The sequence below is a fragment of the Homo sapiens genome, chromosome 15, assembly GCF_000001405.40.
Source record: "Homo sapiens chromosome 15, GRCh38.p14 Primary Assembly".
Lineage (NCBI taxonomy): Eukaryota > Metazoa > Chordata > Mammalia > Primates > Hominidae > Homo > Homo sapiens.
In genome coordinates, this window is record NC_000015.10 from 80,014,526 (window position 1) to 80,038,811 (window position 24,286).

Below are 24,286 nucleotides of genomic sequence, written 5' to 3' on the forward strand. Positions count from 1 at the left end.
TTCTGTTAACAGGGTCTTTCACAGAACAGAACTTTTAAAATTTTAATGAATCCCAGCTTATCAATTATTTATTTCATGGGTTGTGCCTTTGGTGTTTTATGTAAAAAAGTCTTCACCATAACTAATACCCAATACCCAATGTCACACAGATTTTCTCTTGTTGTCTTCTAGGAGTTCTATGATTTTGCATTTTACATTTGGGCCTATAATCCATTTTGAGTTAATTTTTGTGAAACATGTAAGATCTTTGCCTAGATGTTTTTTCAAGTGTTTGGCCAGTTCTTCAGCGCAATTTGTTGAAAACAATATCTTTGCTTCATTGTATTGCTTTGTCGCTTTGTCAAAGGTCAGTTGACTGTATTTATTTGGCTCTATTTCTGGGCTCTATTCTGTTCCATTGACATATTTGTCTATTCTTTCACCAATACCATACTGTCTTGATTAGTGTAGCTTTAATAATTAGTCTTGAAGTTGGGTAATGTCAGTCTTCCAACTATGTTCTCCTCCTTCAATATTGTGTTGGCTATCCTGTCTCTTGCCTCTCCATATAAATTTTAGAATCAGTTTGGCAATATGCAGAAAATAACTTGCTGGGATATTGGTTGGGTGTACTTGGCCATTCTTGCTTTGGTGTAAAGGAATACCTCAGACTGAGTAATTTATGAAGAAAAGAGGTTTAATTGGCTCACAGTTCTGCAGGCTATAAAAGCATGGCACCAACATCTGCTTGGCTTCTGGTGAGGACTTCAGGAAGCTTACAATCATGGCATAAGGCGAAGTGGGAGCAGGCATGTAACATGACTAGAGTAACAGCAAGTGAGCCAGTGGGGGAGGGCCTAGATTTTTAAACAACCAGATCTTGAGCAAGAATTCAATTCTCACCAATGGGAAAGTGATAAAACATTCTTGAGACATCCGCCCCCACAATCCAATCACCTCCCAGGCCCCACCTCCAACACTGGGAATAGTATTTTAGCATGAGATTTAAAGGAGACAAACATCCAACTTATACCATTGGGATTGCATTGAAATTATAGATCAAGTTAGCAAGAACCAATATATTGACAATATCGGATCTTCCTATGAATGACTATGGAATATATCTCCATTTTATTTAGTTATTTGATTTCTTTCAGCAGAGTTTTATAGTTTTTCTCACATAAATCTTGTGCATATTTTGTTAGATTTACACTTATTTCATTTTTTGAGGTGCTAATGTAAATGATATTGTGTTTTTAATTTCAAATTCTAATAGTTCATTGCTGGTATATAGGAAAGTGATTGACTTTTTTGTATTAACCTTATATCCTGCAAAGCTGCTATAAGCACTTATTAGCTCCGGGGTTTTTTTTTTAATCTATTCTTTCGGATTTTCTTTTCTTTTTCTTTCTTTCTTTTTTTTTTAAATTGAGACAGAGTCTTACTCTGTCACCCAGGCTGGAGTGCAGTGGTGCAACCCCGGCTCACTGCAACCTCTGCCTCCTGGGTTCAAGTGATTCTTGTGCCTCAGCCTCCTGAGTAGCTGGGATTACAGGCATGCACCCCCATGCCTGGCTAATTCTCGTATTTTTAGAAAAGACGGGGTTTCTCCATGTTGGCCAGGCTGGTCTCGAACTCCTGGCCTCAAGTGATCTGCCTACCTTGGCCTCCCAAAGTGCTGGGATTACAGGTGTGAGCCACCACCCCGGCTCTTTTAGATTTTCTACGTAAACAATCATATCATCTGAGAGCAAAGACAGTTTAATATTCCTTCTTAATCAGTACATATTTTCTTTTCTGGTCTTATTACATTATTAGATCTTCCAGTATGACACTGAGAGGTGACAGTGTGCTGGCAGTCCTCACAGCCCTCGCTCGCTCTGGGCGCCTCCTCTGCCTGGGCTCCCACTTTGGCGGCACTTGAGGAGCGCTTCAGCCCGCCGCTGCACTGTGGGAGCCCCTTTCTGGGCTGGCCAAGGCCGGAGCCGGCTCCCTCAGCTTGTGAGGAGGTGTGGAAGGAGAGGCAGGGGGGGTACCGAGGCTGCGCGCTGTGCTTGCGGGCCAGCGTGAGTTCCGGGTGGGCGTGTGCTGGGCAGACCCCGCACTCCGAGCGGCCTGCGGGCCCCACTGGCCCTGGGCAGTGAGGGGCTTAGCACCTGGGCCAGCAGCTGCTGTGCTCAATTTCGCTCCCGGCCTTAGCTGCCTTCCGGCGGGGCAGGGTTTGGGACCTGTCGCCTGCCATGCCTGAGCCTGCCCGCCCTCCGTGGGCTCCTGTGCGGCCCGAGCCTCCCCGACGAGCGCCGCCCCCTGCTCCAGGGCACCCAGTCCCATTGACCACCCAAGGGCTGAGGAGTGCGGGCGCATGGCGGGGGACTGGCAGGCAGCTCCACCTGCAGCCCCAGTGCGGGATCCACTGGGTGAAGCCAGCTGGGCTCCTGAGTCTGGTGGGGACATGGAGAACCTTTATGTCTAGCTCAGGGTTTGTGAATGCACCAATCGACACTCTGTATCTAGCTACTCTGGTGGGGCCTTGGAGAACCTTTATGTCTAGTTCAGGGATTGTAAATATACCAGTCGGCACTCTGTATCTAGCTCAAGGTTTGTAAACACAGCAATCAGCACCCTGTGTCTAGCTCAGGGTTTGTGAATACACCAATCGACACTCTGTATCTAGCTACTACCAGGGGACTTGGAAAACCTTTGTGTGGACACTGTATCTAGCTAATCTGGTGGGGACGTGGAGCACCTCTGTGTCTAGCTCAGGGATTGTAAACGCACCAATCAGCGCCCTGTCAAAACAGACCACTGGGCTCTACCAATCAGCAGGATGTGGGTGGGGCCAGATAAGAGAATAAAAGCAGGCTGCCAGAGCCAGCAGTAGCAACCCGCTAGGGTCTTTTTCCACACCGTGGAAGCTTTGTTCTTTTGCTTTTTGCAATAAATCTTACTGCTGGTCACTCTTTGGGTCCACACTGCCTTTATGAGCTGTAACACTCACCGCGAAGGTCTGCAGCTTCACTCCTGAAGCCAGTGAGACCACGAGCCCACTGGGAGGAATGAACAACTCCAGAAACGCCGCCTTAAGAGCTGTAACACTCACCATGAAGGTCTGCAGCTTCACTCCTGAGCCAGCGAGACCACGAACCCACCAGAAGGAAGAAACTCCGAACACATCTGAACATCAGAAGGAACAAACTCCGGACACGCTGCCTTTAAGAACTGTAACACTCACTGTGAGGGTCCACGGCTTCATTCTTGAAGTCAGTGAGACCAAGAACCTACCAATTCTGGACACAGTGAGACCAAGAACCCACCAATTCCGGACACAACACTGAAAAAGAGAAGTGAAAGAGGACACCCTTACCTTGTTTCTGAGCTGAGAAAGCTTCTTGTTTCTCACCATTAATAGGTGTTAGCTATAGGGTTTTGTTAATGTTCTTTATCAAATAGAGGAAGTTCTCTTCTAGTCCTAGTTTGGTGAGAGTTTTTATCATAAATGGGTATCGGACTTAGTCAATTTTTTTTTGTATCTATTGATGTAATCTTGTGATTTTTCTTTCTCTGTTGATGTGATGGATTATAGTGATTGAGTTTTTGAATGTTGAACCAGGCTTGCATACCTTGGGTAATTCCATTTGGTCACGGTATATAATTCTTTTGTTTTGTTTTGTTTTTGAGACGAAGTCTCGCTCTGTCACCCAAGCTGGAGTGCAGTGGCGTGATCCCAGCTCACAGCAACCTCCACCTCCCAGGTTCCAGCGATTCTCCTGCCTCAGCCTCTGGAGTAGCTGGGACTACAGGTGCGTGCCACCATGCCCAGCTAATTTTTGTATTTTTAGTAGAGACAGGGTTTCACTATGTTGGCCAGGCTGGTCTTGAACTCCTGACCTCGTGATCCACCTGCCTCAGCCTCCCAAAGTGCTGGGATTACTGGCGTGAGCCACTGCACCCAGCCTGTTTTGTTTTGTTTTGTTTTTTGAGTTGAAGTTTCCCTCGTCATCCAGGCTGGAGTGCAATGACGCGATCTCAGGTCACTGCAACCTCCACCTCCCAGGTCCAAGCAATTCTCCTGCCTCAGCCTCCCAAGTAGCTGGGACTACAGATGTGCACCACCACGCCCAGCTAATGTTTGTATTTTTAGTAGAGATGGGGTTTTTACATGTTGACCAGGCTGGTCTCGAATTCCTGACCTCAGGAGATCTGCCCCCTTGGCCTCCCAAAGTGCTGGGATTACATGTGTGAGCCACCAAGCCTGGCCCTGGTTATGGCATACAATTCTTTTTACACATTGTCGTATTTGATTTGTTAATATGGTGTTGAGTATTTTTGCATTAATATTCATGAGAAATATTGGTCTGTAGTTTTCTTTTCTTTGTCTTGTTTTGATATTAAGGTAATATTGACCTCACAGAATGAGCTAGGAAGTATTCCCTCTGCTTCTATCTTCTGAAAGAGATTAGAGAGTCAGAATAATTTCTTCCTTAAATATTTGATAGAATTCACCAGTGAACTCATCTGGGCCTGATGCTTTCTGTTACAGAAAATTATTAATCATTGATTCAACTTTTTTTTTTTTTTGAGACAGAGTCTTGCTCTGTCACCCAGGCTGGAGTGCAGTGGCGTGACCTCGGCTCACTGCACGCTCCACCTCCTGGGTTAAAGCAGTTCTCCTGCCTCAGCCTCCTGAGTAGCTGGGATTACAGGCACTTGCCACCACGCCCGGCTAATTTTTGTATTTTAAGTAGGGATTCGCCATGTTGGTCAGGCTGTTTTCGAACTCCTGACCTCATGATCCGCTCACCTCGTCCTCCCAAAGTGCTAGGATTACAGGCGTGAGCCACCATGCCTGGCTGATTCAAGTTCTTTAATAGATATTGGCCCATTCAGATTGTCTGTTTCTCTTCATATGTTTTGGCAGATTGTATCTTTCAAGGAATTTGCCCATTTCATCTAGTTTGTCAAATGCCTGGGCATAGTTGTTCATAATATTCCTTTCTTAACCTCTTAATGTTCATGGGATATGTAATTATTAATATCAGAAGTGAAAGAGGTATCTTTCACTTCTGATATTAATAATTTGTCAACTCTTTTTTTTTTTAGCCTGGTTAGAGGCTTATTGATTTTATTGATCTTTTCAAAGAACAGACTTTTAATTTTGATGATTTTTTTTTTTTTTGAGACGGAGTTTGCCCAGGCTAGAATGCAGTGGCACAATCTCAGTTCACTGCAACTTCTGCCTCCTGGATTCAAGTGATTCTCCTGCCTCAGCCTCCCAAGTAGCTGGGACTACAGGCATGCACCACCATGCCTGGCTAATTTTTATATTTTTAGTAGAGGCAGGGTTCGCCATGTTTGCCAGGCTGGTCTCAAACTCGTGACCTCAAGTGATCTGCCTGCCTTGGCCTCCCAAAGTCCTGGAATTACAGGCGTGAGCCACTGTGCCCAGCTTTTTTTTTTTTTTTTTAAAGAGACAGGGTCTTGCTCTGTTGCCCAGGCTGGAGTGCAGTGGCCCGATCTTGGCTCTCTGCAACCTCTGCCTCTTGGGCTTGAGTGATCCTCCCAACTCAGCATCCTGAGTTTCTTTTTGTTTTTTTTTCGGACTATTTTCTCTTTGCTTTTTCATTTCAGAAGTTTCTATTGACATATCTTTAAGCTGAGAGAGTCTTTCCTCAGCCTTATGCACATTACTAATGAGCCCGTCAAAGGCATTCTTTATTTCTGTTACAATGTTTTTGATCTCTAGCATTTACTTTTTATTCTTTCTTAGAATTTCCATCTCTCTGCATTGCCCATCTGTTCTTGCATGCTTTCTACTTTATCCATTAGATCCCTTAGCATATTCATCATAGTTCTCTTAAATTCCTGGTCTGGGCTGGGCGCAGTGGCTGTAATCCCAGCACTTTGGGAGGCCGAGGTGGGCGGATCACGAGGTCAGGAGTTTGAGACCAGCCTGGCCAACATAGTGAAACCCTATCTGTACTAAAAATACAGAAATTAGCCGGGTGTGCTGGTGCATGCCTGTAGTCCCAGCTACTCAGGAGGCTGAAGCAGGAGAATCGCTTGAACCCGGGAGGCAGAGGTGGCAGTGAGCCAAGATTGCACACCAGCCCGGGTGACAGTGTGAGACTCCATCTCAAAAAATAAAATAAAATAAAATAAAAATAAATTCATGGTCTGATATTTCCAGTGTCCCTGCATATCTGAGTCTGGTTCTGATGCTTGCTCTGTCTCTGCAAACTGTGTTTTTGCCTTTTAGTATGCCTTGTAGAAGAAACTGAGATAAATAAGCCTTTAGTGATGTGGTGGCAAGGTGTGGCATGAGGGGAAGGGAAGCATTATATAGTCCTATGACTGGATCTCGGTCTTTTAGTGAGCCTGTGCCTCTGGACTGTGAACTTCACAAGTACTTCTCAGGTTTTTTCCCCCGCCACCTAGGTGAGACATGGTGGCTATAGTGGGTTGAGGTTGGGTATTTTTCTTCTATCAGATAGAAGGCTAAAGAGGGCTGGAGTTGGGCATTTTTCTCTCCCCTGATTGGCTAGGCTCTGATAAAACCCCAGACAATGGTGAAGTCGTTTCTCTGAGTGCAGGCCTTGTTAAGGATAACAGAAGGCAGCCAGGCACAGTGGCTCAAGTCTCCAATTCCAGCACTTTGAGAGGCCAAGGCAGGAGGATTGTTTCAGGCCAGGAGTTTGAGACCAGCCTGGCCAATATGGCAAGACCCCATCTCAACAAAAAACATTAGCTGAGTGTGGTGGTACACACCCATAGTCCCAGCTACTTGGGAGGCTAAGCAGGAGGATCCCTTGAGCCTGGGAGGTGGAGACTAGTGAGCCAGGATTATGCTGCTGTACTCCAGCCTGGGTGACAGAGTGAGACTTTTATTAAAAAAAAAAAAAAAAAAAAAAAAACGAGAGAGAGAGAATGACAGAATATTCTTATACATTTCAAAATGGTTTGTTTTCCCCTCTCCCTGCTAGAAGCACAAGGGGATTTTTCTCTGATAATCATTGTGAGAACCTGTTAGAACTCCTGGAGGTAAAACTCAAAAGTATGGCGGCCCCCCTGAATGAGTCTTCCTGGAATTAACTGTCAAACTTGCCACTCTGAGTCTCCAGCAATTCTTGAATTACAATTCAGATTTTCCTATCCTGGTACAGGTTCCTGTGGAAGTTTCTATTACAGTAAATTGTGATTCTCTGCATTTGCCTATCTCTCCAATTTTGGGGGCAGCAGTTTGCTATGTGACCTTACTTTTCTAACAGAACAAAAGAAGAGATGTTATTTTTTTTCAGTTTGTTCAGCTTTTTACTTGTTAGGACAGAGTGCTGACTTCCAAGTTCCATACGTGTCGGACTGGAAACCAGAAGTCAGGAGTCAGTTTTTTAAAAACACAAGTGCTTCTTTTAAAAAAAAAAGATTGTCTTTATTTAGAAAGTGTATGATGATTGAAATGTTAAAGCTAGAAAGAATTTATAAATGGGGAAATTGAACTCTAGAAAGGTTGTAACTTACTTATCAGTCAAGGTCTTGGTGGGAAACAGATGGTATGCTTTATTTTATTTCATTTTTATTTATTTTTGAGACATGGTCTCATTTTGTCACCCAGGCTGGAGTGCAGTGGCGCAAACACAGCTCACTGCAGCCTGGAACTCCTGAGCTCAGGCAATCCTCCCACCTTAGCCTCATAAGTAACTGCAACTACAGGCACATGACACCATGCCCAGCTAATTTTTCTAATTTTTTGTAGAGATGGAGTCTCGCTATGTTTCCCAGGTCGGTCTCAGCCTCCTGGGCTCAAACAATCTGCCCACGTTGGCCTCCCAGAGTGCTGGGATTACAGGTGTGAGCTACTGTGCCCAGCCCTAGATGGTGTATTTTAACAGGGCAATTTGAGAAGAGTTTAAAAAAGCAACTATGTATACAAAAGGTATGAGCATGGTTTAAGAAAACATATGAGGCACAAGTAGTGCTGTATGCCAGGGCCAGTAACAGCCTGGAGCTATTACCCCCACTAAGGCTGAAGAGGCAAGGGTGAAGGACTAGTTATCAGAACACAGGAAGGGTATCAAGAGGAACAACTGTTAGAAGCTATGACCCCTAAAAGGATGCAGCCAACTCACAACAATATGGTAGGAAGGAAACCTCCCACCTTCCCATCTCCTGCCAATATTGTCCACTGACCAAGCCCAACCAGGAGATGAAGGGCAAAGGTGCCACTGATGCCACCCATCCAGGTTGGCCTCCTGGGACACAGAGCACAGCAAAGTGGAGAGTGGATCTTCATACTGTGATATCCTTGTCTCCCAGAGAGGTATGCTTAAACCAGGATATTCTTGGCAATAAATAGCATTCAAAGTCCTTATTTTGGTCACCTCTGTTACTTTTAGAGAATACCTAATTTGTACTCCCTGGAGGAAGGATATCTTATTTAGTCCTGGAAAAGTTGTTCTACCCCCACCCGCCAAAAAGGGCAAATGATTTCTTCTAAGGAACATAAAGATAGGAAGGAAAAAGGAAAATTATGTCCAAACATTTATATGCTGTTACCCCACAGCTTTTTCCCCTCGGAAGCCCTCCATTCTGCTGAGGTGGCAGCAGAGGTAAGCTCGGGGTACAGGTCCCTGGTCCAAGTCTTTTCGTGTCAGGGGTCTAGCGGCAGGCAGGGAGGCCAATCAACAGGTGCTTTCCCACTTCTGCCAGCATCACTGAGACCCTTAGGAAGACAGTCTGGGCTCAGGAGCTGGGCCTGGAGCTCCTCCAGGACCTGCTTCTCTGGTAAGTGTACAGCTGCTGACACGAGAAACTTGGGCCATATGGACTAAGGATCCTACTCCCCACATGCCTTGCAGAGGCTGCTGCAAGCCCAGGTTTAAACAGTGATGCAATGTAGCCTCCACTCCTCCCTCCCAGCACTCCCACATTCAACCATCACCAAGTCTTGTCAATTCCAATTTCAAATAAATTTCAAATTCATCCACTTTCCTTGATCCCTCGTGCCCCAATCCCAGTCCACAGCTCTTTTGCACTTTCGCACTTGTCTTCCTGTTGTTCTTCCTGCTCCCATTTTGTCCCGTCTAGGCTTTCTCATTACTTTAAGGAAGAATTTCAAAATCCTTAAGATGACCTTCAAAGCTTTACATGATCTAGTCCTGCCAGTCTCTCTGGAGCCATCTGATGTTCACTTTTTACTCTTGATCTTTCAGCCATCCTAACCCTCTCTTCTCTCCTCTAACACAACCTCTTTCCTGCCTCAGGGCCTTTGCACATGTTATTCTCACTTAGCTCATGCTTCAGGCTTTAGTTTAGTAGCCACATCCTGTTTTCTTCTTTTTTTTTTTTGAGACAGAGTCTTGCTCTGTCGCCCAGGCTGGAGTGCAGTGGCGCAATCTCGGCTCACTGAAACCTCTACCTCCCTGGTTCAAGCAATTCCCTTGCATCAGCCTCCCGAGTAGCTGGGATTACAGGTGCACACCACCACGCCTGGCTAATTTTTTTGTATTTTTAGTAGAGACGGAGTTTCACCATGTTGGCCAGACTGGTCTTGAACTCCTGACTTCAGGCAATCTGCCCGCCTCAGCATCCCAAAGTGCTGGGATTACAGGTATGAGCCACTGCACCCGACCCACATCCTGCTTTCTTATATTGACATAGTAACCTGTAATGTTTTTCTTCATATAATTTGTCATATTTTAAAATTATATGTTTATTTTTTTGATTATTTGTCTCATGTCTGTCTGCCCTACTTATACTTGTTTTTTGAGATGGAGTCTCGCTCTGTCACCCAGGCTGGAGTGCGATGGTGCGATCTCAGCTCACTGCAACCTCCGCCTCCCAGGTTCAAGCCATTCTCCTGCCTCCGCTTCCCAAGTAGCTGGGACTACAGTCACGCGCTGCCACGCCTGGCTAATTTTTGTATTTTTAGTAGAGGCAGAGTTTCACCATGTTAGCCAGGCTGGTCTCGAACTCCTGACCTCAAGTGATCCACCCGCTTCGACCTCCCAAAGTGCTGGGATTATAAGCGTGAGGCACCGTACCCGGGCTGCCCTACTTATTCTTCGTGTGTGTGTGTGTGTGTGTGTGTGTGTGTGTGTGTGTGATGGAGTCTTGCTCTGTTGCCCAGGCTGGAGTGCAGTGGCGCAATCTTGGCTCACCGCAACCTCTGCTTCCCAGGTTCAAGCAATTCTCCTGCCTCAGCCTCCCGAGTAGCTGGGATTACAGGCTCCCGCCATCACATCCTGCTAATTTATGTATTTTTAGTAGAGACGAGGTTTCACCATGTTGACCAGGCTGGTCTCGAACTCCTGAGCTCAAGTGATCCACCCACCTCAGCCTCCCAAAGTGCTAGGATTACAGGCGTGAGCCACGACACTGAGCCTGCCCTACTTAGACTTCTTAAAGGCAGCTCCAGTGTCTGATTTGCTCATCACAGAATTCTCTATTCCTAGAATTGTGCCTGGTGTTTAAGAGGCCTAAACAGACATTCTTTAAATCAGGGGTTCCCAGCCTCCAGGTCATGGACTGGTACTGGTCCACCGTCTGTTAGGAACCAGGCCACACAGCAGGAGGTGATTGGCAGGCAAGCGAACAAGGCATCATCTGTATTTACAGCTGCTCTCCATCACTCGTATTCCCACCTGAGCTCTGCCTCCTGTCAGATCAGCGGCGGCATTAGATTCTCACGGGAGCACAAACCCTATTGTGAACTGCACGTGCGACAAATCTAGATTTTGCTTATGAGAATCTAATGCCTGATGATCTGTCACTGTCTCCTGTCACCCCCAGATGGGACCGTCTAGTTGCAGGAAAACAAGCTCAGGGGTCCCACTGAATCTACGTTATGGTGAGTTGTATAATTATTTCATTATATATTACAATGTAATAATAACAGAAACAAAGTGCACAATAAACGTAATGCACTTGAATCATCCTCAAACCATCCCCTGCACACACACACGCCATCCCTGGAAAAATTGTCTTCCACAAAACCAGTCCCTGGTGCCAAAATTGTTGGAGACCGCTGCTTTAAATGGATGGAATTAATGAATAAAGGTGCACTTTACAATGTAGGTTTTATTACTGTTTAGGTATGGCAAACCCAACAGACAACTGCCATTGGAAAGATATTTTGTTATACTCCCAGATCCCATAAGAAGGGGGCATGCCAGCTGGGCGCAGTGGCTCACACCTGTAATCTCAGCACTTTGGGAGGCCGAGGCAGGCAGATCATGAGGTCAGGAGATCGAGACCATCCTGGCTAACATGGTGAAACCCCGTCTCTACTAAAAACACAAAAAATTAGCCAGGCATGATGGCAGACGCCTGTAGTCCCAGCTACTCGGGAGGCTGAGGCAGGAGAATTGCTTGAACCCGGGAGGCGGAGGTTGCAGTGAGCCGAGATTGTGCCACTGCACTCCAGCCTGGGTGATGGAGCGAGACTCCATCTCAAAAAAAGAAAAGGAAAAAAAAAGCAGGGCGTGCCACACCATGGGGAACACACAAGAAAGCACCAGGGCTAGACTGAAGGCAGAGGGAGAGAGAGAAAAATGTGGACAAGAGCCTTTGTTGTGGTTTCTATAGGAAGGAATCAGGGAGACAGTGTTGGAATTGGCTGCTTTGAATAATTACAAGGGGTTCTGGGGTATAGGGGCTATCTCTAGCTATTTGGTACCTGGCCCTGGAGTTATTAGGACAGGGAGTGTGAGAGTCCAGTAAAGGAGATGGTTGGGAGGGGGGACTCTGGATTGGTTGGTTTGTATTTGAATAACCCTAGGAGGGCAGTCCCTCTAGAGTCAAGGAGGACCCAAGATGTCAAAGCATCAGAATACAGAAATAAAAGACATGGTTAATATAAGGGGCAAGACCCAGTACTTCATTCATACAAATGCCCCAGGGATTGGTCTTTCATACACACACACGTGCACACACAGACACAGACACACACATCCCTCCTAACCATGGGACTGCTGACTCAGAGAAAGAAGCCCCTGGGCAAGGGTTATTGAAAGAGGTATTCAAGTATGGTTCTCTACTTTCTTTCTAGGAACAGCATGAACACTTCATCCCTTTTGTTTCCTTTCTAACAGGGATATTAGGAAGAGTAACTACCTCCCCAGCTGGAAGCTGGTATATCTCGCAGCAGGGCTGGGCTTCTATTTCAGAAAGAACACGGCCACTTTGCTGGAACCAGAGCAGTGGCACAATCCGAATCCTGGCGGAGGGCAACAAGTCAGCTTCATGCTCAGAATCTGCTTCTCTGAAGGCCTCTGAATTACCAGGAAGAATCTAAGTACAAGCAGACATATTTCTCCCGGGCGTGGGGTGTGGGTCAGTGTTCTCAGTTGCAGACCACAGAATCTGCCCCAGCTAGTTTAAACAGAAAGGTATTTATTACGTGTTAAAGACAGATCACAGAATCACTGGAGGCCCTAAAGAAATAGACACTAGAATGAACCTTCCGGAAGGACTCCCAAAACCACAACACAGAACTGTGCAGCCAAGGGACCTTCTGCTTCTGCATGATCAAGAAGCTTCAGAAGCAGGAAGCTGCCACCCCAGCCACCTCCAGGAAACTACCTCCCAAACCAGGAAATCACTGGCAGCCTCCAGTTCCATACAGCCTCTACCACCATTGCTGCCACATTGCTCTCCCTACAAAATTCAACACCACATGCAGGTACATTTGGTTGGTTGAAAGTAATTGCCATTTTGTACAGTAGCTACAAGGGGGTATGGAAAATGCCATTTGTAGTCCTAGCCTCTCAATTAGAATGGATGTCAGTATACTAATCCATGTGTATACCACACATTGTTTGGTCCTTTCCCTGGGCCTGGTGTGTCCTTAGAGGATCAGAACATGTTTACTTTTTTTAAAAAAATTGTGAATTATTCAACAAAATTCTGTCCCTAAATCTCAGTGGCTATGGCTTGGCTGCCCATGGACCAACTTTCTAGATATTCAAGGCCAACCTGCCTAGATGTCTAAAGGTTACTGTGCTCCTATCTCCTGCTGGCATACACCATGGCTTCTTAGAACATACAGCCAAACATTTGTCCAAACTTCGGCCTGGCACAGTGGCTCACACCTGTAATCCCAGCACTTTGGGAGGCTGAGGTGGGCGGATCTCTTGATGTCAGGAGTTCAAGGCCAGCCTGGCCAACATGGTGGAACCCCATCTCTACTGAAAATACAAAAATTAGCCAGGTGTCGTGGCAGGTGCCTGTAATCCCAACTACTTGGGAGGCTGAGGCAGGGGAATCACTTGAACCTGGGAGGCAGAGGTTGCAGCGAGACGAGATCGTGCCACTGCACTCCAGCCTGGGTGACAGAGCGAGACTCTGTCCCCTCTCCCCACAAAAAAGGCCATGCATGGTGGCTCTTGCCTGTAATCCCAGCAGTTTGGGAGGTTGAGGTGGGCAGATCACCTGAGGTAAGGAGTTGAAGACCAGACTGACCAACATGGTGAAACCCTGTCTTTACTAAAAATACAAAAATTAGCCAAGTGTGGTGGGGTAGTCGCTTGAACCTGGGAGGCAGAGGTTGCAGTGAGCCGAGATCACACCACTGCACTCCAGCCTGGGTGGCAGAGTGAGACTCTGTCTCAAAAAAATAAAAAATAATAATACATTTTAAAAAATTGTCCAGCCGGGCGTGGCGGTGGCTCACGCCTGTAATCCCAGCACTTTGGGAGGCCGAGGCGGGCGGATCACGAGGTCAGGAGATCGAGACCGTCCTGGCTAACACGGTGAAACCCCGTCTCTACTAAAAATACAAAAAATTAGCTGGGCGTGGTTGCAGGCGCCTGTAGCCCAATTACTCAGGAGGTTGAGGCAGGAGAATGGCCTGAACCTGGGAAGCAGAGCTTGCAGTGAGCCGAGATCGCGCCACTGCACTCCAGCCTGGGAGACAGAGTGAGACTCCGTCTCAAAAAAAAAAAAAAAAAATTGTCCAAACTTCAATGAGAGATTGGGATTTCGCAGTATTTTTATCTAGAACATAACATTTCCCAGTTAGAGTAACCAGTACTGTCTGCTACGCCAGTGCAGGAGGCTTAGCAACTGTTCTTGATTTTCTCTGTTCCCTGAGGCTTATTAAATAGTTCTCCTAACTGGGAAGAAACACAGGTGGGAAATACCTTGTTGGTTTAGATAAAGGCTTAGAATTTATAAGCAAGAGCCCTAAGTTCAGATTCTGACTCTCCCATAATTTATATGTGTAATTTTGGTCAAGTCATTTATCTTCATGAAATATACATTTTCTCATCCCTAAAATGGGCCTTTATGAAGTAGCAACTACTTCATAAAGCTGTTGAGAAAAGCAAAAGAGATAATGTATCTAAAAATGTTATGTAAACTGAAAAAATATTGTCCTGAGCTAGTAATCAGGCTCTATCTCATGAACTAACTCTCATGAATTTTTTAGAGCTGTCTGGAGAACTGTGTTGAGAAGGATTCTGAGGGGTACATCCAGGTTTATTGGGAAAAAGTACTATTGTTGGGTAAAAATGCCTGCTGTGATTACCAGGGTTTGTTGGCATTGGAAGGGCACTGGTAAAGACGGTGTCACATATTTGACATTACCACTCTAGATAAGCAGGTGTTGTAATTAGCATCATAATGACAGAAGTCATCTGGAGCAGCCCTAAGAAGACAAAGAAGCAGCAGCAGCATTCAAGAAGCGGAATATCAGCTAAAAGAGAATGTAGCCTAAAGAAACAAATGACTTATTTTGCTGGATGAGGAGTTGGTTTCCCAAACAGCAAACTCCAAGCTGAGCCTTGGTGGGTTAGGAATAGAGCTGAACATTTAGCTCCTTCTCTACCTCCTTTGTGAGTTCCCATTCATCTGCCATTTCTCAAGTGTCCAGGCCAGGTCCTCTTCCATTGTCATGATGCCAACTTGCAGAGTAATCTTTTTTTTTTTTGAGACAAAGTCTCACTCTGTCGCCCAGCCTGGAGTGCAGTGGTGCAGTCTCCACTCACTGCATCCTCCGCCTCCTGGGTTCAAGCGATTCTTGTGCCTCAGCCTCCTGAGTAGCTGGAATTACAGGCGCCTACCACCATGTCCCACTAATTTTTGTATTTTTAGTAGAGATGGGGTTTCACCATGTTGGCCAGGCTGGTCTCAAACTCCTGAACTCAGGATATCTACCTGCCTCAGCCTTGGGATTACAGGCGTAAGCTACCGTGCCCAGCAGCAGAGCAGTCGTATCCACTCCCATGGCTTTAACCACCTCCATGAATATCTCTGCCCCAGATTTCCTAAGCTCTACAACTGCATATCCAAATGCTATCTGTACATTTATACTTCGCCTATATGAGACCAAGTGTCTAGTTGCAAGCAACAGAAAGCAACCTTCGTGAATTTACACAGAAAAAAAATGTTAAAAATATTAAATAGTTCACAGAATCTCTGAAAGGACACTAGGCAACACAGCAAAAAACGTCAAAGATCATGCCACAGAAGTGCCATCAGTGGACAAAGTCATAGAATCCTGGGCCACTAATATCACTGACATTGAATACTAGATGCTGCAGCTGGAATAGGTGCCATGCCAGCCTCAGAACACTGGCAGGACAAACTCTCCTGCTGCCTCCTTCACCTGAATGGATTCTGTATGCCATTAGCTTCCAAATCAAAGTCTGAGGGAGAAGTGTCTGAATGACAGTGACTAGGCCATGTGCCGGTGCCTTGGACGCAAGGAAATCTGAGAAAGTACGAGTTGGGCATTTTTCGCTTTATGGTGGGAGGTAGGCTCTGCCTTATAAAGTTTGCAAGAGGGTTTAAATGCTAGATGGCCCTTTTGGGCTAAGATGATATGGTGGAGCCACAAGAGGGAAGGAGTCTGGTCCCCTAAACCACCATGTCACCTTGTTGCCATGCTGATCTGAAATACCTGCATCGGATTGTCATGTGGAGCAAAACAAAAATAAAATAAAATAAACCCAAAACATCTATAGTGTTAAGCCACTGAAATTGTAGAATTTATTTCTTATGGCAGATAGCAGTATTATCTTAACTACCATAGTGGCCCAAAATCATTTTAAATTTCCACTTGATTGCCTCAGCAGATTCTTAAATTCAGGAGTCATCCTCTTTATCCTACACCTCCAGATTTGCTCTCCTTTGTTTCCAGCCTCCCTAGCCCTCAGTCAGAAGCTTGGCTGTCACCTTGCACTCCTCCCTCTGCTTCACCCCTGACATTCAATCAGAGACCAAATTCTGCAGATTCCTGCTGTCAATTCCCTCCTCAGCTTTTCCACTTTTACTGTCTTGGCCCATTCACCAATTCTCATCTCTTTTCTGCTCTGACTACTGGATCAGTCTCTGAATGTGTCCTTGCCTTTACTCTGCCTCAGCTCCAGTTCATTCATCCATTCATCCATCCATCCATCCATCCATCCATCCATCCAACCAACCATCCATCCAACCAACCATCCATCCATTCAACCATCCAAGCATTCATCCATCTAAACATCCAATCATCCATCCCATCCATCCAACCTTCCAATCATCTATCCATCAACCTATGCAATCATCTATCCATCAACCTATGCAATCATCTATCCATCCATCCCATCCATCCAACCATCATCTATCCATCCACTTAATTTATATGTATTAAATACATTACCAGGGGTTAGACAGTATAAATGTTATAATAAATGAGTCCTTGACAGAGGACCAAGTGTTGGGGAGACCAACGCTAATGAAATAGTCTCACTAATAAATATGTAATTACAGGTGCTATGAAAGAAAATTACAGGTTGCTGTGAGAACATCATAATGGGGCTCTGAACTGGTTAAGAGGTCAGGGACATCCTCCTTGAGGAGGTGACTTTTGAGCTGAGGTCTAAAGGCTAGAGGAGGTAAATTGGTCAAGGAGATGGGGACTATGATCTTTCAAGCAGAGGGAACAGTGAGTGTGAAGACTCTGAGGCAGGGAGGAGCTGGACACATTTGGGAAGCCAAAAGTCCAATGTGGTAGAAGAACCAGTCTTTTTTATCATGGTATTCCCAGGACCTAGCAGGGTGTCTGACACATAATAGGTGTTTCAAGAGCTTGTTGAAGGAGCCCATGAATGAATGAAGAGATGGGTGGTGGAGACAGATGGATAAAGAAATGGAACTGTAATCATGGCACAACGTACCACTGAAAAACAGAGCTGCAGCCTCCTTGCTGGTCTCCTTACTTCAGGTTTGGCCACCTCCAATCCCTACTCCACCCTATGGCCCCAGGAGCTTAGGCCATTATAGCACTTATCACACTGGATATAATTGACTGGTTATTGTCTCCCTCCTCCTCCATAATGAGCTCCACAGAAACTTGTTTACCAATAGAGTCCCAGCACCCAACCCACTGCCTGCAAAGAGGAAGCATTGCATATAAAAATTTAATGCGCTGGTAGGCATAGGAGGCAAACACCCAGCATCAAAGTCAATTGGGCAGGAGAGGGTGGAGTTGAGAATGAGTAAAACACAGTCAGCTGCCAGTGTCAGCCAGCACAGGAGGGGCTGAGAGCCAAGTGGAGCACTTACATGCCAGTGGCATTTGACAGTCATATATAGAGACAAGCCTAGAGCCTGCAGAGATGAGCAAGAAAGCAGGTGCAGGAGATGCAAGGAGGAGCTGCAGGGCAGGCCCACGTCAAACAGGGGATGGCATCCTTTTGGCCTTTAAAGAGCTTGGCTTACACCTGTCAGGTCACACAACGCCCTTCAAAAGAAGGCACCCATACCTCCTGACACTTAACTTCTTTTTTTTTTTTTTTCTTTGAGACGGAGTCTCGCTCTGTCACCCAGGCTGGAGTGCAGTGGCACGATCCCGGCTCACTGCAAGCTCCGCCTCCTAGGTTCATGCCATTCTCCTGCCTCAGCCTCCCGAGTAACTAGGACTACAGGCGCCCGCCACCACGCCCGGCTAATTTTTTGTATTTTTTAGTAGAGACGGGGTTTCACCGTGTTAGCCAGGATGGTCTGGCTCTCCTGACCTCATGATCTGCCCGCCTTGGCCTCCCAAAGTGCTGGGATTACAGGCGTGAGCCACCACGCCCAGCCTTAACTGCTTTTCCTACTGCATCTTGGCTGTGTGTGTGTGTGTGTGTGTGTGTGTGTGTGTGTGTGTGTGTGTGTATAATGCATCCCCTAGGAGGACATCCTGTTTCTAGCCTCTGCACCTTCCCAATGCCCAGCCCAGTGCCTGACTCAGTGCCTGAGTAAATGTGCGTTGGAGGAATGAACAGCCAGCAAAAGAGAGAAGACATTGGGCCTGGCAGCAAAGCAGCTGGAAGGGAGGCCCCTAAACAAACAGAGCCTCTGCCAGGAAATCTAACAAACGAGGCCCCATGGACGATTGTGAGTTGTTGTTTGAATGCTTCCTGTTTGCTGGCTTGAAACCAGACTTCCTACAGTGTCTATTCTGGTCCTCTCACTTTGACTTACCGCTTTTCAAAATGATCAGTTTCACCATTCATTCTGCCCTTTTGGCTCCTAGTTTCTGCAACAGACAGATTGAATCTTCATGCATTTATTCATGAAACACTTCTGGAGTCCCTATTATGTGCGATACACTAAGTCACCAGACTCAGGATTCTATGAGAGAACCTGGTGGGAAAGACAGCTACAAATAAAAATTCACAATCTAGAGTGATAAGAGAACGAAACACCAGGGTGACACTGGGGAGCAGACACTCACACCAAAATAATATATGATTGTGTTTTTCCTGAATTCATTTCCTCATATATGAGTGACTAATGAACAAGATTGGAGGTATTTGGGTCAGGAATGCCACTAATTGTTTCCCAAACACCCAGCTGTGTGGTCATTCAGGGCAGCTGGGAACAAACACCAGCCCAACAGTGTTCAAACTTCCAAGGACCAAGCCTGGGGGCTTTGCCACAGCACCAGCAATTACTCATTTGGCATGCGGCCACTCCTCACTCAGCCCCAAGGACCTCAGTCCTGCACTAGAGGGGTTTCCTGGGACAATGCTAAAACCAAACCAGTTCTGGGCAAACTGGGACAGTTGGTCACACTGAAGTCTGTGGGCTTTGCTGAACTTGCAGGTCTGCACACACGCCAGGACAGCTGGTCTGGATCGGGGATAATAGAGGGAGAGGCATTAACTGCTGCGTGGAATCTTAGCCTCAGCACCTGCCTCTCTAATCTGGCACCCTGCCAGCCCCAGCTCCTAAGATGCAGGCCACTCACACTTCCTGCCTGCTGACTCAGCCACACCTCGGCTGCTTAGTTAGTCCTGATGGAGGCAGGACAAGTGGCCTTGAGCCAGTGAGGAGGGTGGAGACCCTGCTGCTCTTCATCACTCTATCCTTAGCAGCTAGCATGGTACTCCATGGAGCAGGGGTTCACTAATGAATGAGTTAAGAGTGGTCTTATGGCCGGGCGCGGCGGCTCACGCCTGTAATCCCAGCACTTTGGGAGGCCGAGGTGGGTAGATCATGAGGTCAGGAGTTCGAGACCAGCCTGGCCAAGATGGTGAAACCCTGTCTCTACTAAAAATACAAAAATTAGCCAGGCATGGTGGCGCACGCCTGTAGTCCCAGCTACTTGGGAGGCTGAGGCAGGAGAATCACTTTAACCCAGGAGGTGGAGGTTGCAGTGAGCCGAGATCGTGCCATTGCACTCCAGCTTGGGCGACAAGAGTGAAACTCTGTCTTAAACAAAACAAAACAAAACAAACAAACAAAAAAAAGAGTGGTCTTAGTCTCTCTCTGTTCAGTGGGGCTTAAAGCCTCTGACTCCTGCCATGTACTCCCCTCTACCCGCCTCCTAAATTCTCTTCTGTTGCAACTGAAATACGGGACACCAAGACCCCAGGGACCAAGCCAGAAAATGCATGCTGCCTGAAACCCAGCCGTTTCTCACTTTCCCACTCCATGGGGACTCTTTTAAGGCTGCGCAGGCCCCTTTGGCCAATATCTGACTGCCGCCTGCCCCCTTCCCCCCTGAAGTGGCCTTGCCTTTTGCCTGCCAGACTTCCCATGTGCTGGAGTTTCCTGGGCAGATCTCCGGCATGTTGGCTGCTCCACCGCCCACAGCCTCGGGTCTGGCAGCTGCCTAGATGGGGATCCTATGTTTTACATACGCCTCCTGGGAAATCTGCATGCTGACTTTTCTGACCTTCTGAGCTGACAATGCTTTTGGGTTCTATCCCCACCCCACCCATCTGCACCCTCAGGGTCAGTCACCATCAGTCGGGTGATGAGGAGGAAAACAAGGTATTAAGGGAAGTTCCAATCTTTTATTTTTCCCCCATCAACACATTTACCATCAGCTAGCACCTGAGTCCCTGGAGAGCTGTGAGGAGGGTGTAGGAGGATCACGGGGCTATTTGTAGACACAGCCTCAGAGCTGGAGGGAACTGTCTGGGTCACTGAGCCCAGCCTCCCACCTGAGCAGGAAAGCAAACTTGCTGTACTCTGTCGATAAATGGGCCTTAAGCTTTTGCTTGAATCTGCCTTCATGGGTGGCTCACTCCCTTTCTGGGGTGTGGTTCATGGTTAGATTGTGCCTACTGTTAGGATGTTTTCCCTATATCTCTTGTAGTAAAATGAGCCCCTTGTTGTACATGTCAAATTCCAATGTTGCACTCCTGGATTCTGGTAAGCTTACCCTGTCGGTACCACTGTGGGTTGAGATGAGATCTCCCACTAAGGATGGGATGTTTCCCATCATTGATCCATTGTATCAATCAGGATCCCGACAGGTGCACTCAAGTTAGGATAACATGAGGAAGATTTATTTTCAAAAGGACTACTTACCAACTTATGGGTGGGATAGACAGGAACCCCAGAGACAGTGCAGTGATCTGCCTTCACTAGCAGTGGAGATCTTACTTGTTAGGCCTGATGGATCAGGGGACAGACTGGTAGTTTCTGGAACCCACAAAGTGGAGTCATGTATAGGAGCTGTCTATCAGAACCACCTAGGGGCTTTCCAAATGCACTCTCCACTCCCAGACTCCCCAGGAGAGTTTCCTAGAGCAACAGGGAATGCAGGCTGGTTATCAGGGCCTGTGAAGCAAAGAAGCTGCATTTCATCACCAGATGTGAAGGCTGAGTTTGGGGCTAAGAAAGAGCAAAGTTGGAGGGGTTAGGACTCAGGCAGGCACTGGCCTGGGGCAGGGAGCCTGGGCAAAGCACAAATGTGGCCTGTGAGAGGCCCTGCAAATGAGATGAGCACCTGGGGCCTATTGTTGCAGTTGACCTCTGGCCTGGCCAGGGCCTGTGTTGCTCCCCAAGATTTCTTTGCCACCCCAGACTCGGGATCCATTTCCTTGAGTAACAGACGGCTCCTGTTCTCCTCACTTGAGAGTTCTTTTGTCTGACTGGACTCTTCCTTGTTTTTGTCAGTTCAGATGAGTGACCTTGTTCAGCTGAAGTCTTTTCTTTGGGCCTGGGGCCAACTTTTCTTGGGGCCCACCTGCTGCCCAGTTCCTCTATGATCCAGCTCTAATGCTTCCCAAATTATAAGGTGAATAAAAATCCTTAAGGACCTTGTCAAAATGACAACACTGATTTAGTAGGTCCTGGTGGGCTCAGAGATGCTACATTTGTAGCAAGCACTCAGATAATACTGATGCTGCCCGTCCACACACCACACTTTGAGTAGCAAGCCTTGAACCCAGTGGTTCTCAATTCTTGGCTGGAATGAGCTTGAGCTCATCTGGAGCACATGGTGAAAACACAAAGGCCCAGGCCCTTGTGTACTCCAATGAGCCTGGACCTCAGCCAGCTGCATTAGCTCTCAAGGTGATTCTCATATACATTAGGGTTTCAGAACCATTGCTGGGCCTCTAGTGTGTTGCAGGTGGCTGGCCTGATTGGGTAGCATTGGTTGCCAACTGCATTTAAGGCCCTGGCACAACTCCCTGCCAAGACTTCCTGGAAGGCTCTTTCCCTAAGGGTGGCTTTATGTTGTCATTCCTTGACATTATGGGTCTCCTGTAGTCCCCCTCATCACTCTCCAACAATAGGTCCCTTTCCTTAAAGCTCCAGGTCAGTGCTGACACTGGATGTCCCCATTGCCTATAGCAGTGTTAGCAAACTATGGCCCACAGGCCAAACCAGCTGGCCACCTGTTTTGTAAATAATGTTTCATTAGAACAGTCATGCTCATAAATACAAATACAAAAATGCTCCCATCCCCTTTGCAAATAGCATGATCAGGAAAATTGTCTCCCTTTGAAATATAACTTCCTATGAAGCTCCTATTAACCAGAGCTTTGAGAGCATGGCATGTGCCCAGTGTTGAGGACACAAGGCTAGGCCACAGATAATGAACTCTTCCCCAGCAACCCCTGCAATGACCCTCCTCCCTGGGGGTCTGTGGATACTTCCCCTGCCTCCTTCTCCCCTATTTACATGCCAGGGCTAAGAGGGTGATAGACAAGCGTGAAACAAAATTACTTTCCATGTGAAACAGGCTACCCTACTTTGGCTGCCAAATGAAAATGCGAAAAGGTTCAAAAATACAGTTTCTTGATGGATTGAAGATTGTGGAAACGGTGAGAAGGAAATGAGGCGGCCACTAGGGAAGCCCAGAGGAGATGTGGTGAGGCACCTAACATCCCCCTCTTCTACAAACCTTCAACCCCAGCTGGGATGCACAGTAAGAAAATTCAAGCTTCTTGGCCCGGCACGGTGGCTCACGCCTGTAATCCGAACACTTTGGGAGGCTGAGGCAGGCGGAGTACCTGAGCTCAGGAGTTTGAGACCAGCCTGGGCAACACGGTGAAAACCCGTCTCTACTAAAATACAAAAAAAAAAATTAGCTGGATGTGGCAGCGTGCACCTGTAGTCCCAGCTACTCGGGTGGCTGAGGCAGTAGAACTGCTTGAACCCAGGAGGCAGAGGTTGCAGTGAGCCGAGATCGCGCCACTGCACTCCAGCCTGGGCAACAGAGCGAGACTCTGTCTCCAAAAAAAAAAAAAAGAAAATTAAAGCTTCTTTTAGGCCTCCCGTCATTGCAGCAACTGCACTGTCAAAGGTACAGCATCATCATCTGACCCAACAACCTCCAGGTAAGATATAGCAAGGATCCTCAGCCTGGGACTTGGCTCCATCCAATGCTTTGGAAGGGGAATCTGGCTTGACATTACAGGTCTCCTGCAGGCTCCCTCATCACTCTCCGATGATGGGTCTCCTTCCTCAAAGCTCCAGGTCATTGCTGACATTGGTTGACCCTGCTGCCTAGAGCAAACTATGGCCCATGGGCCAAACCAACCATTTTGTAAATAATGTTTTACAATAATGTATCTACAAAATAGCACCTATTTTGTAAATCACGTTTCAATAGAATACAGTCATGCTCATTTATTTATATCAGACCTCCCTCCCCCCAGTTACATTTTGGGTTGTGACAACTGAGGAGTGCTACTGGTATCAACTGGGTAGAGACTAGGATGCTGCTAAATATCCTACAGTTCACAGGACAGCCTTCATAACAAACAATGATCCAGCCTCAAATGTCAGCAGGCCAAGGTGGACAATACCTTGTGTATTGTTTATGGCTGCTTCTGAGCTAAAATGGGAGAGTCGAGTAGATGTGACAGAGATCACATGACCTGCAGAGCCTAAAACATGTTCTATTTGGATTTTGTACTAGTCAGGGTTTTCCATAGAAACAGAACCAATAGGATAGAGAGAAAGGAAGAAAAAAAGAGAGAGAGATTTAAGGAACTGGCTCATGTGATTATGGAGGCTGGCAAGTCCAAAGTCTGCAGGGTGGACTGGCAGGCTGAAGACCTGGGAAGAGCCAAGGTTGCAGTTTGAGTCTGAAGGCTGTCTGCTGCAGGATGCCTTCTTCCTCAGGGGAGGTCAGTCTTTGTACCATTCAGTCCTTTGACTGATTGGATGAGGCCTACCAACATTGTGGAGGGCAACCAACTTTACTCAAAATCCACTGATTTCAATGTTAATCTCATCCAAATGTACTCTCACAGAAACATCCAGAATAATGTCTGACCAAATATCTGGGTACTGTGGTCCAGCCAAATTGACACATAAAATTAACCATCAAAGCCAGGCGCCGTGGCTCACACCTGTAATCCCAGCACTTTGGGAGGCCAAGGTGGATGGACTGCGAGGTCAGGAGTTCAAGACCAGCCTGGCCAATATGGTGAAACCCTGTCTCTACTAAAAATACAAAAATTAGCTGGGCGTGATGGTGCGCGCCTGTAATCCCAGCTACTTGGGAGGCTGAGGCAGAAGAATCACTTGAATCCAGAAGGTGGAGGTTGCGGTGAGCTGAGATTGCATCACTGCACTCCAGCCGCGACAGAGCAAG

General features: G+C 46.9%; 5 annotated features.

The window, feature by feature from the left end:
* Nucleotides 3,043–3,202: an enhancer, noted in NCBI's record as "active region_9942". NCBI's record gives its function as "activates an Ori minimal core promoter by ATAC-STARR-seq in GM12878 lymphoblastoid cells {active_cell/tissue: GM12878}" and the evidence as "EXISTENCE:reporter gene assay evidence [ECO:0000049][PMID:35858748]".
* Nucleotides 13,527–13,908: a silencer, noted in NCBI's record as "fragment chr15:80320394-80320775 (GRCh37/hg19 assembly coordinates)". NCBI's record gives its function as "represses an EF-1alpha promoter that drives an FKBP-Casp9 reporter gene in an ReSE screen in K562 erythroleukemia cells {active_cell/tissue: K562}" and the evidence as "EXISTENCE:reporter gene assay evidence [ECO:0000049][PMID:32094911]".
* Nucleotides 17,480–18,225: an enhancer, noted in NCBI's record as "H3K27ac-H3K4me1 hESC enhancer chr15:80324347-80325092 (GRCh37/hg19 assembly coordinates)". NCBI's record gives its function as "activates a minimal SCP1, AML or CMV promoter by ChIP-STARR-seq in naive and primed H9 embryonic stem cells {active_cell/tissue: H9 hESC(naive and primed)}" and the evidence as "EXISTENCE:reporter gene assay evidence [ECO:0000049][PMID:30033119]".
* Nucleotides 18,226–18,969: an enhancer, noted in NCBI's record as "NANOG-H3K27ac-H3K4me1 hESC enhancer chr15:80325093-80325836 (GRCh37/hg19 assembly coordinates)". NCBI's record gives its function as "activates a minimal SCP1, AML or CMV promoter by ChIP-STARR-seq in naive and primed H9 embryonic stem cells {active_cell/tissue: H9 hESC(naive and primed)}" and the evidence as "EXISTENCE:reporter gene assay evidence [ECO:0000049][PMID:30033119]".
* Nucleotides 18,970–19,713: an enhancer, noted in NCBI's record as "NANOG-H3K27ac-H3K4me1 hESC enhancer chr15:80325837-80326580 (GRCh37/hg19 assembly coordinates)". NCBI's record gives its function as "activates a minimal SCP1, AML or CMV promoter by ChIP-STARR-seq in naive H9 embryonic stem cells {active_cell/tissue: H9 hESC(naive)}" and the evidence as "EXISTENCE:reporter gene assay evidence [ECO:0000049][PMID:30033119]".